This window comes from Homo sapiens, chromosome X (genome assembly GCF_000001405.40).
Source record: "Homo sapiens chromosome X, GRCh38.p14 Primary Assembly".
Taxonomy (NCBI): Eukaryota; Metazoa; Chordata; class Mammalia; order Primates; family Hominidae; genus Homo; species Homo sapiens.
Window position 1 is genome coordinate 37,732,520 of NC_000023.11, and position 13,756 is coordinate 37,746,275.

The 13,756-nt window shown below is 38.2% G+C and overlaps 1 annotated feature.

Annotated features, from left to right (window-relative positions):
• Positions 13,112 to 13,161: an enhancer, noted in NCBI's record as "active region_29518". NCBI's record gives its function as "activates an Ori minimal core promoter by ATAC-STARR-seq in GM12878 lymphoblastoid cells {active_cell/tissue: GM12878}" and the evidence as "EXISTENCE:reporter gene assay evidence [ECO:0000049][PMID:35858748]".

The following is a 13,756-nucleotide window of genomic DNA, read 5'->3' on the forward strand; positions in this document are numbered from 1 at the left end:
CAAATGTAAATGGTTGGGAAAAACATCAGTCATTAAAGGGATCATTTCAGAGCATGAGAGAGACATGGACTGTTTCAATAATTCCTTTGCTTCTGAAGGTGGCCTTGGAATTTGCAAAGACTTAGCTATAGGATAAATCTCTTTAAAAACAGCTTTATTGAGGCACAATTGACATACAAAAAACTGCACATATTTAATGTATACAATTTGATGAATGTGTACATATGCAAACACTCATGAAACCATCACCACAATCAAGGTAATAGACATATTCATCACTTCTAAAAATTTCCTTGTCCCTCTTTGTTTTTGTTTTGTTTTGTCTTTGTAAGACACTTAACATGAGATCTATGCTCTTAATATTTTAAATTCACAATACACTATCGACAACTATAAGTACTATGTTGTACAACAGATCTCTATAACTTACTCATCTAACGTAACTGAAACTTTATATCCATTGAACAACAACTTCCCATTTCCCCTACCCCCCAGGCCCTGGCAATTGCCATTCTATCCTCTGCTTCTATGAGTTTTGCTATTTTAGACACCCCATCTAGGTGGAATCATGTAGTATTTGTCCTTCTGTGTCTAGCTTATTTCACTTAGCATAATATCCTCCAGATTCTTCCATGTTGTCACAAATGGCAAGGTATCCTTTTTTTAAGGCTGAGTAGTATTTAGGAATATGCCATATATTCTTTATCCATTTATCTATCAATGGACATTTAGGTTATTTTCATATCTTGGCTATTGTGAATAATGGTTCAATGAACACTGGAGTGCAGATATCTCTTCAAGATCCTGATTTCAGTTATTTTGGATACATACCCAGAAGTGGGGCTGTTGGATCATACGGAAGTTTTATTTTTTTAATTTTTTGAGGAGCCTTCATACTGTTGCCCATATTGGCTGTACTATTTTACATTCCTATCAACAGTATACAAGTGTTCTAATTTCTCCAAATCCTTACTTACATTTAATTTTTTGTTTTTTTGGATAGTAGCCATCCTAACAGGTGTGAGGTGATATTTCACTGTGGTTTTAATTTCTAGTTTCCTGATGATTGGGGATGTTGAGCACCTTTTCATATACCAGTTTTCCATTTGTATGTTCTCTTTGGAAAAAGGTCTATTCCAGTCCTTTGCCCATCTTTTAATTGGGTTATTAAACGCTTTCTTTTATTGAGTTGTAGGAGTTTCTTACATGTTTTGGAGATTTTCAGATATATGGTTTGCAAATATTTTCTCCAATCTGTAGATGTTTTTCCTTTGCTGTGCAGAAGTCTTTTAAAATAAATATTTTCATGTTAAAAAAAACTGAGTATTAACAATTATAGCATTCAAGTAGGTCAATATAAAATTATTTAATTTGGTGTTTGTTAATGTTTTATTTTGAAATAATTTTAAACTAATAGAAAAGCCTGAAGAATAGTGCAAGGAATTTCTTTATACCCTTTACCCAGACTCACCTATTATTAATATTTTTCCATGCCCGTTATCATTGTCACTTTCTCTCTCTTTCTTGTAAACCCTTTGAGATTACACTGCCAACGTTACACCCCTTTATTCCTAAATACTATGATGTGTTTTTCCTGTGAATAAAGGTATTCTCTTACAGAGCCACACTATAGTTATCAAATTCAGGAAATTTAATATTGACACAATACTAATATCTAATCTAATATCCATACTCCAGTTAACAATTGTGCCAGTCACTTTATTTGCTTTCACAAAGCTTGTGAAAACCATGTGAATCAACTCAGTTCTCTTCTGTGGGGTTGTCTTTATTTAAAACTATGAGTAAGTTTTAACTTTTCTATGAATAATGGGAGATCTACAGCAGACGTTGAAGTTATTTGAAGAAAATATGTAGATGCTATCAGTACTAACTAATAGCTTAAAAACTGGAAATTTGAGATGTTTATTGGCAAGCTGGGTAATTCTTTTTCATGAACATCCTTTTTAGGCTTCAAGTGTTTGCTGTTTAATATTTGAATCTGTAGTTCACTCCCATCCTCTGCCCTGCTGTTATAACTCTATTTTACAGTGTTTGGGCCCAAATTTTAAAAGATTAGGAATGAGGTGAGTTAAGTAGATATTATTCTGCTATGACCATATTTCTCTGGGTGTCCCTCTTCCAGGAGACTATATTTTCTATGAACATCTCTCCAACTGGGAAAGAGCTCAGAAATCTCAACTATACATTTTAATTAAATGAATAACATTTTGAGCATTTCCTCTTTTTCAGGGAAAGGCACTTTATAGCAGCAGAGATTTGTACAGAGCTGGAAATTCAGAAGCATCCCAATCTCTCCTTTCCCAACACACACACACACACACACACACACACACACACACACACACACAAACACACACACACACACACACACACCCTGTCAGAGTAGACCCCAAATATGCTAAGAAGTTGAGTCTGCCACAGAAGCCTGCTCTAGGGAATGACCTAACATCTTATCACCCTCTCTGCATGGTTGTTTCTCTGGAAATTATTAGGCCAAGGAGATCTAGAATACTTGGTTTAAGCAGGTTTTAGAATCCAGAGCATCTTTAAAGAGTGTTACAGCAGCATGCAGCCGTGTCTCTCTGCTGCAGGTTATCAGAAAACTTAACACTCAGACTCTGCTGTAGCATGCACCTTTGTGTGAGGGAGTGGAGGGTTTGCCTCCTCCCAAGAAGGATAGATTTAGCTAAATCAATTTTGAGGTTCTGCCTGTGCTTTCACTCCCTCCCTGCCTCCTATCCTGAATTAATTTTCTATCTCTGAATGATGAGTTCCTGATTGAAACCTGATTAGCCTGCTTCCTAAAGCCGTGGAAATACCATCTCCCTTAGACATATACATTATGCATACTGGTTTAATTTCTTATCAGTTTGCTTCCTATCTTAATTACCTAAACTCTACAGTTAATGAGTTAGGTTTTCAGGGGTGATAGCACTCAAGAAATAAAACAGGATTTTGAAATTCTATTTTGGAGTGGTGCTGCAACACCACACCCACCGCCACCCTAGCAGGGAGGAGAATGATTCCCTTTTGTCATCTTCCCCTAACAAGGTGACCTTCTTAATTGGATTGGCAGAATTTTCTAGAAAAATGGTGCCTGGCTGTAGGGCTGCAGGCCTCCAAGAATCAGAGGTATTGTGATCCTCTCCACTACTACAGATATCTGGCACACACTTGTGCAATTCTTTTTCAAACCAATGGGAATGCTGTTGTGAGTGATAGGACAGGACTGATTAGAAGTGTCACTGTAGTCAAAGTAATTTTGTCATTTTTCTCCCAGCTCCCACCATGAACAAATATTAAAAATTCAACCACTGTTATGTGGAGGGTGACCTTAAAGTATGTCTTTTGTAATTGAGGTTATTGGGATCTATTACCCTGGGAAGTTTTTTTTTTTCTGCTGAAATATTTTCTCCTATGGACTTATGGTATAGTCTTTTCCTTTTAAAATGAGGATAGATCACCCACACATCATGCGGCTTCTCTCATTTACAGCTTGATTCAAGAGATCAGGAAATATGTTTATTTTAAAAGTGTACTGTAAATGTCCTACCTTAAAAAAGTACATTATCTACCTTCACAGGAAGTATGTAATCAAGGTGAAATGCTTCTATCGTTTCAAATTATTACTAAATGTATATTACTATCATAATATCCATCAAAATAATATGATTTCTACAGTCTTCAATTCACCTCCCAGTTTACTTCCTTAGCCTTATTATAAATAATATCAGGGTGCTTTCAGCTACAATTTGTAGAACACCTGGTTAAAAGTGGCTTAAACAATAGGATTTTGTTATCTATATTAACAAGCAGTTTGGAAAGAGGTGATTCTAGATTCTGGCAGGCAAACTATCCTTGGGCCCCAGAGGCTTTCCATCTTTCCTGTCACCTTCAACCTGTTCCTCCATCTTCACGCTTGTCTTCACATTATTGAAGCATAGTAACCTGACCTCCAGGTATCACGTATACAAAACTGAATCTGAGCTTCTCCTTCTTGAAAGATGGAGAAGGTCCCAAGAGTTCCGGAAGGAGGCAAAGTGGTCTTTTTCAGCCGCCAGGGTCACACATTTCCTCCAGTACCGTGAGTTACAGAGAAAAAGTCCTAATCCTTCTGCCTGAATGTTGACCTTATTTTCTAGGTCTTAGAATTCTTTGGTATTGCTTTACATTTCATTTCCCACCCCTCAAACTGAATTTATTGTGTACTTTCTCTGGAGAACTGGTTCCGAAGGAAAAAGAAAAGCAAGCTTTCTATTAAGCCCTAAAGAGCTAACAGGGTACAGCAGGACAATTTATATCCAGACAGAGCGTTGGGGTAATAGGAGAAAACAAATATTATGTTCTTGGAGCCCTGGTATCATTTGCATATTTCCAAAGGAAAATAAATTTGATGCTAGAATGCCATCTCTTTAAAAGCACTCAGTTCAACATCTAATACTAATTCCACAATATTAACACCAGCAATGTCCAGTATGGCAGCAACTAGCCACATGTGACTACTGAGCAAGTGGGATGTGGTTATTCCAAATTGAAATGAGCTCTAAGTGTAAAACCCACATGAGATTTTGAAGATTTAGTATAAAAATTCAAAATATCTTAATAATTTCTACATTTGATACCATGTTGAAAAGATAATATTTTGGATATATGAGGCTAAATGAAAGATACTATTAAAATTAATTTCACTTCTTTCTACTTTTTTTTACTGTGGTTACTAAGAAATTTAAAATTTCCCCTGTAGCTCCCATATCTGGTTTGTGTTACAGTGGACAAGACATTTTACAGATATGTACACTAAGTGTACACCAGAAAAATGCCAGATTAGCCAAGATCTGTTCCTTGGATGGCATTTCCCTTTTTTCATGTCAGGAAAAGTGTGTTTACAATAAAAACAAGGATGTCTCACTCTAATGTATTATTTATGTGCTCAGAGAGTGTCCTGAGCAATGAGGAGATGTTTTCTTTTTCTTTTCTTTCTTCTTCTTCTTCTTCTTTTTTTTTTTTTTTTGAGACAGAGTCTTGCTCTGTTGCCCAGGCTGCAGTGCAGTGGCTCGATCTCAGCTCACTGCAACCTCCACTTCCCGGGTTCAAGTGATTCTCCTGCCTCAACCCCCTAAGAAGCTGGGACTACAGGCGCCTGCCACCACACCCTGTTAATTTGTTTTGTATTTTTAGTAGACACAGGGGTTTCACCATGTTGGCCAGGCTGGTCTCGATCTCCTTACCTCAAATGATCCGCCCACCTCAGCCTCCCAAAGTGCAGGGATTACAGGCGTGAGCCACCATGCCTGGCCTAGATGTTTTCTATTAAGTGGTTTCCAAACATGGCTTCCCATTGGAATCACCTGGAGATGATGGGGTCGTTGAAAATGCTGCTGCCAGGCCACACCTCAGGCCAATTAAATCAGTATCTCTGGGCATGGGACCCAAGCATCAGGGTTTGCATCTGGGCTCTCCAGTATTCCAGAAATCTTTCTTTATAAGCAAAAGTAGGTGTCTGGGGCTTACAACAGTCAATCAGTCATCAGATATAAGTATCTAAAAGTAACAGAATCACTGATTTCCTCACACTGTGTTCAGATGTTCAAGTAAATGTAGCTTCTTTATATCCTAGATGGATTTGAACTTCCTTGTGATTTCCTGCCCGAATTGGGTACCAAAAAAGGTGGGGGGTGAGGAACCAGCCTTGCTAAGCCCAGTGTCCCCATCTCTGCTCACCAGGTGCGTCTGTCTCTTTGGAGTGACTGCACGTCTATGAATTAAGCACTCTATTTTTCAGGATGCCTCCCCTGCCCTTCTCCTTCCCTGAGATGGCAGCACCCAGGTGTATGGGAGAGACACTGCGTGCCACCTCCTGGCAGAGGGGTACCAGGACCTACTGGCCTGAGGCTGGGCCCAGGGCTGGGTCAGGCCCGAGTTTGCTCACATGGGTTCCTCTGAGTTCTGCTGGACTCTGCTGCTGAGCTCTTCAGCTGTCAGGGCCTGTCCTCTGCTTGCTTCCAGGCCTTGGCTTGGGTTGGTCTACTGTGAGCTGCGGCCCAGGAGCCACACCATGGCCTCTTCCAAGGGCCTGGACTGGGCAGTTCTACACAGGGGCACCATGGAAGGCTCTCATCCCTCAGCTTCACATCCCACCCTCCCATGGATGAGGCTGTGCTCCTGGGTTCCACATTGCCTCACCAAAGGGCCACTTTCTGCCCTCTGTCAGCATGACCACAGCTCTCCTGCTTGGGAATGTGGGATCAGACAGCACCCCAGACAAGGGACCCTCAGACAGTGCCCAATGGGAAGAGACAGAGAAACCCCTGAGCCTCTGGTATTGCCTCAACCAATTTATTGTGTCCTTCCCAGGCTTAGTTGTGGAGGAGGCTGTCAGGATACAGGGGCCTCAGTAACAGCCTCCCTCTTCCCACAGTCTATGGATGCCTAATGCCTCTTGCTCTACTTCATAGCCTCCTTGCTCTAGGCCAGCAAGCCTCCAGTGCCAGGCATCCCAGGTTGAAGCAGTGTCCTCTCTGCACTGTGGGGGCACTGTGGCCTCAGCCCTCTAAGACTTGCTTTTGATCTGCTAAGTGAGAGATACACAAAAAATAAAAAAGCAAGAAATTAATTCATATTACAGGAGAAAACCATCTTCACTAAAAGGAAGACAGGAAGGAAAGAAAGAAGGAAGAGAAGACCACAAAATAACTAGAAAATAAATAACAAAATAGCAGGAGTGACTCCTTACCTATCAATAATAACATTGAGTGTAAATGGACTAAACTCTCCAATTAAAAGACATAGAATGGCTGAATTGATTAAAAAAAAAAGATCCAGTGATCTTTTGCCTATAAGAAACACACTTCACCTATAAAGAAACACATACATTGAAAATAAAGGGATGGAAAAAGACATTCCATTTCAATAGAAACCAAAAAAAAGAGTAGGAGTAGCTATACTTACATCAGACAAAATAGATTTCAAGACCAAAAGTATAAGAAGAGACAAAGAAGGTTACTATGTAATGATAAAGTGGTCAATTCAGCAAGAGGATATAACAATTATAAATATATATGCACCCAACACTGGAGCACGCAGATATATAAAGTAAATATTATTAGAGCTAAAGAGAGAGAAACCCCAATACAATAATACCTGGAAACTTCAACACCCCACTTTCAGCATTGTAGAGACCTCCAAGACAAAAAAAGTCAACAAAGAAACATCAGGCTTAATCTGTACTATAGATTAAATCGACTTAATAGATATTTACAGAACATTTCATCCAATGGCTGCAGAATACACATTCTTTTCCTCAGCACATGGATCTTTCTCAAGGTTAGACCATATGTTAGGTCACAAACAAGTCTTTAAACATTTTAAAAAATTAAAATAATATTAAGCATCTTCTCTGACCACAATGAAATAAAAGTAAAAATCAATAACGAGAGGAATTTTGGAAACTACACAAACACCTGTAAATTAAACAATATGGTCCTGAATGAGTAGTGGGCAACTGAATAAATTAAGAAGGAAATTGAAAAGTTTCTTGAAACAAATAATAATGGAAACACAACATACCAAAACCTATGGGACACAGTAAAAGTGGTACTATGAGGAAAGATAATAATAGCATTAACCGCCTACATTAAAAAATAAGGGTTAGTTTAAATAAACAACCTAATGATGCATCTAAATAACTAGAAAAGCAAGAGCAAACCAAACCCAAAATTAGTAGAAGAAAAAAATTATAAAGATCAGAGCAGAAATAAATGAATTTGAAATGAGGAAAACAATACAAAATACCAATGAAACAAAAAGTTTGTTTTTTGAAAAGATAAAATTGACAAAACTTTAGCCAGATTAACTAAGAGAAGACCCAAATAAATAAGAGCTGAGATGAAAAAGGAGACATTACAACTGATACTGCCAAAATCTAAAGGATTATTAGTGGCTAGTATGAGCAACTATATGCCAATGAATTGGAAAATCTAGAAGAACTAGATAAATTCCATAAATTCCTAGATACATACAACCTACCAAAATTGAACCATGAAGAAATGCAAAACCTGAACAGACTGATAGCAAGTAACAAGATTGAAGCCATAATAAAAAGTCTCCCAGCATAGAAAAGCACAGAACCCAATGGCTTCACTGCTGAATTCTACCAAACATTTTAACAACTAATACCAATTCTACACAAACTATTTTTAAAAATAGAGGAGGAGGGAATACTTCTGAACTCATTTTACGAGGCCAGTATTACCCTGATACCAAAACCAGACAAAGACACATCAAAAAAAGAAAAAAAGAAAACTCCAGGCCAGTATCACTGATGAATATCGATGCAAAAATCCTCAATAAAATAGTAGCAAGCTGATTTCAACAGCACATTAAAGAGATTATTCATCATGACCAAGTGAGATTTATCCCAGGGATGCAAGCATGGTTCTACGTATGGAAATAGATTAATGTGATACAGTATATCAACGGAATGGAAGGCAAAAACTGCATGATCATTAAAATTGATGCTGAAAAATCATTTGACAAAACTGAACATCTCTTCATGATAAAAACCCTGAAAAATCTGAGTATAGAAGGAATATACCTCAACATAACAAAAGCCATATATGACAGACCTGTAGTTGGTATCATATTAAATGGAGAAAAACTACAGGCATTTCCTCGAAGATCTATAACACGATAAGGATGCCCACTTTCACCACTGTTCTGTAAATCCTAGCTAGAGCAAACAGACAAGAGAAAGAAATGAAGGGCACCCAAATGGAAAGGGAGAAGTCAAATTATCCTTGTATGTAGATAATATGATTTTATATTTGGAAAAACTTAAAGACTCCACCAAAAAAACTATTAGAACCAATAAACAAATTCTGTAAAGTTGCAGAACACAAAATCAACATACAAAACTCAGTAGTATTTCTATATGCCAACAGTGAACAATCTGAAAAAGAAATAATCTCATTTACAATAGCTACAAATAAAATAAAATACATAGGAATATAGCAAAAAAGTGAATGATCTCTATAAAGAAAATTATAAAACATTGATGCAAGAAATTGAAGAAGATGCAAAAAATGGAAAGACATTCCATGTTTATGGATTGGAAGAATCAATATTGTTAAAATGTCCACACTACCCAAAGAAATCTACACATTTAATGTAATCCCTATCACAATACCAATGACATTCTTCAAATAAATAGAAAAAACAGTCCAAAATTTATATGGAACACAAAAAGACCCAGAATAGCCAAAGCTATCCTAAGGAAAAATAAAACCGGAGGAATCTCATCACCTAACTTTGAATTACACTGCAGAGATATAGTAACCCAAAGGGCACAGTAGTGGCGTAAAAACAGACACATGGATCAGTGGAACAGAATAGAGAATCCAGAAACAAATCCACACACCCACAGTGAACTCATTTTTGACAAAGGTGCCAAGAACATACACAGGAAAAGACAGCCTCTTCAATAAATGGTGCTGGGATGATTCTACATCCATGTGCAGAAGAATGAAACTAGACTCCCATCTCTCACTATGTATAAAAATCAAATCAAAATGGATAAAAGTCTTAAATCTAATACCTCAAACTATGAAGCTACTAAAAGAAAACATTGGGGAAACTCTTCAGGACACTAGAGTGGGCAAAGATTTCTTGAAAAACACCCGACAAGCACAGGCAACCAAAGCAAATATGGACAAATTGGATCTCATCAAGTTAAAAAGCTTCTGCACAGCAAAGGAAACGATCAACAAAGTAAAGAGACAACCCACAAAATGGAAGAAAATATTTACAATCTACCCATCTGACAAGAGATTAGTAACCAGAATATATAAGGAGCTCAAACAACTCTTTAGGAAAAAAATTTTATAATCTGATTTTAAAAAGGGCAAAGGATCTTAATAAACATTTGGCAAAAGATAAGACATACAAATTGCAAGCAGACATATGAAAAGGTGCTCAACATCATTGATCATCAGAGAAATGCAAATTAAAACTACAATGAGATATTATCTCACCCCAGTTAAAATAGCATTTTTTTTTTTTTTTGAGACAGAGTCTCACTCTGTTGCCCAGGCTGGAGTGCAGTGACCCGATCTAGGCTCACTGCAAGCTCCGCCTCCCGGGTTCACGCCATTCTCCTGCCTCAGCCTCCCAAGTAGCTGGGACTACAGGCGCCCGCCACCACTCCCGGCTAATTTTTTGTATTTTTAGTAGAGATGGGGTTTCACCGTGTTAGCCAGGATGGTCTTTATCTCCTGACCTCGTGATCCGCCCGCCTCGGCCTCCCAAAGTGCTGGGATTACAGGCATGAGCCACCATGCCCTGCCTAAAATAGCTTTTAACCAAAAGACAGGCAATAACAAATGCTGGCAAGAATGTGGAGACAAGGGAAGTCTCATATGCAGTTGGTGGGAATGTAAATTGGTACAACCAATATGGAGAACCTAGTTTTCTTTACAGTAGGTTTAAGTGGGCTTAAAATATTCAGTAAATCATGCTCTAAGCAGATGTGCTGTCATCTAGGCTTTGTTGTTTCATTTCTGGAGCACAGGCAGAGTAGATTTGGCATAATTCTTATGGGCCCTAGGAGTTTGGAATGGTAAATGATCATTGCTTTCAGCTTAAAGAAAAGAAAGAAAATGTGGTACATATACGCACTGGAGTACTATCCAGGCATAAAAAGGGATGAGATCCTCTCATTTGCAACAACATGTGTGGAACTGGAGATCATTATGTTAAGTGAAATAAGCCAACCACAGAAAGACAAACTTTGCATGTTCTTCCTTATTTGTGAAAGCTAAAAATTAAAACAACTAAACTCATGGATATGGAGAGTAGAATGATGGTTACCAGAAGATGAGAAGGGTATTGGTTGGAGGCAGAGAGGGTGTGGTCAGGAAGAAGTGGGGATTGTTAAGTGGTACAAAAACATAGTTAGAAAGAATGAGTAAGACCTAGTATTTGCCAGCACCACAAAGTGACTATAGTCAAAAATAATTTAGTTGTACATTTTAAAATAATGAAGAGTGTAATTTGTTTGTAACACAAAGGATAAATGCTTGAGGTGATGAATACCCCATTTACCTGGATGTGATTATTATGCATTGCATGCCTGTATCAGAATATCTTATGTGACCCATGAATGTATACACCTATTATATACTTACAAAAATTAAAAACAAAAAAATGAAATTGCAGCAATTCAGTCACTTCTTTATACTCCACTTCTAATTCTAGCTCTCTTGCTATTTCTACCACATCTGCAGTTGCTTCCTCCATTGAAGTTTTGTATCCTTCAAAGCTATCCCTGAGGGTTAGAATTAACTTATTCCAAATTCCTGTTAATGTTGATATTTCTGACTTTCTCCCATGAATCATGAATGTTCTTAATGTCATCTTAAATGGTAACTTTTTTCAGAAGGTTTTCAATTTCCTTTACCTAAATCCATCAGACTAATCACTGTGTATGGCAGCTACAGCCTTACAAAATGTATTTCTTACATAATAACACTTGAAAGTTTAAACAACTCTTTGATCCATGGGCTGCAGAAAGGATGCTATGTTAGCAGACATGAAAACAACATTCATCACCATGCACATTTCCATCAGAGTTCTTGGTTGACCAGGTGCAATGTCAATGAGCAGTAATATTTTGAAAGGATTTTTTTTCTCTACAGTAGGTTTATGTGGGCTTATTCAGTAAACCATGTTGTACACAGATGTGCTTTCATCTAGAAATGTGCTTCATTTCAAGAGCACAGGCAGAGTACATTTGGCATAATTCATATTGGCCCTAGGAGTTTTGGAATGGTAAATGAGCATTGTCTTCAGTTTAAAGTTACCAGCAGCATTAGCCCCTAGCAAGACAGTCAGTGTCTTTTGAAGTTTCGAAGCCAGGCATTGTCTTCTCCTCTTTGGCTATGAAAGTCCTAGATGCATCTTCTTCCAATACAAGGCTGTTTGTCTACATTGAAAATATGTTGTTTAGTGTAGCCACCTTCTTCAATGATCTTAGCTGAATCTTCTGGGTGACTTTTTGCAGCTTCTCCACCTGCACTTGCTGCTTCACCTTGCATTTTTATGTTATGGAAACAGCTTCTTTCTTTAAACCTCATGAACCAACCTCTGCTAGCTTCCAACTTTGTTTCTGCAGCTTCCTCACCTCTCTTATCCTTCACAGAATTGAAGAGCTAGGGCCTTGCTCTGGATTAGGCTTTGGCTTAAGGGAATGTTGTGGCTGGTTTGATCTTCTATCTCGACTATTAAAACTTTCTCCATATCAGAAATAAAGCTGTTTTCCTTTTTGTCATTTCTATGTTGACTGGAGTGGCACTTTTAATTTCCTTCAAGAACTTTTCCTTTGCATTCAAAACTTGGCTGTTTGGCACAAGAGGTCTGGTTTTTTGCCTCTCTCAGCTTTCAACATGCCTTCTTCACTAAACTTAATCATTTCTAGCTTTTGGTTGAAAGTGTACATGTGTAACTCTTCCTTTCACTTGAAAACTTAGAGGCCACTGTAGGGTTATTAGTTGGCCTAATTTAATATTGCTGTGTCTCAGGGATAGGAAGGGCTGAGGAGTGGGAGACAGATGGGGGAACTGTCAGTTTGTGGAACAGTCAGAACGCACACACGTTTATCCATTAAATTTGCTGTCTTATATGGGTGTGGTTTGTGGAAGAATTCCGATAGTAACATCAAAGATCACTGATCACAGATCATCATAACAAATACAATAATAGTGAAAAAGTTTGAAATTTTTCATTTCTTTAAAACATTTCAGAGAATTACCAAAATGTAGCAGAGACACAAAGTGAGCACATGCTGTTGGAAAAATGGTGCCGATAGACTTGATTGAGATAGAGCTGCCACAAACCTTCAATTTGTAAAAAAAAAAAAAAAAAAATGCAATTATGTTCAAAGCACAACAAAATGATGTATGCATGTATGCCATTTCCAAAGGAATCCCTTGGCAGTCACATTCCCCTTGGCCAGCAGGTGGCAGTGCTTGCTCATCGAGGTACAGAATATTGACCCTGCCTTAGCATCAGGGCCCAGCAGGAGTTTTAGCTTGCTGTTTTACGCTGCATGTGTTCTAATTTTCTCCCTTTTATATTTCTTATTCTGTGACTTGTTGTTTCTTTCCCACCACTTCTGTTCCCCTCCAATGCTAGACCCATCTCTATTATGCACCTAACAGCCTCCTCAAATATGTGCCTTGTAGAATGTGGCCTTTCAGGAATGTAGGTGAGGCTTACGTATCACCCCCTGAAAGTCCCAATGAGAAATAATGCATTTAAAACAAGCCATCTTGAAAAGCCTGAAAAATTATGACTAAATCACAAAATATTAAGTCCTAAAGGGGAAGGGAAGACAGATACTCAGCTGGCCTGCCCATGTTCACCACTCCAAACCCATGACAGGCCGAGATGCTCAGTGTGAGGCTCTGTTACCACACTGGGACTTGCCATGGCTTCAGAGTCCTTCTGAGCACAGCTACTCAAGAAGCTTCTCCTCCTAACAGGCAAGCATGACACACTCTGCCAAACCAGGAAGGGCAAGTTTCTGTAATAGGGTACACTATATGTGCAGTTCCCAGGCATTACATCCTGCATTTAGCTGCATTCCAGGGGCCACTGGCTAAGTCTTTCCACCTTTTTCTCTTCTCCAGTATGATAACAACAATGCATTAATAATAGCAGCTACTATTAATGAGCCCATGCT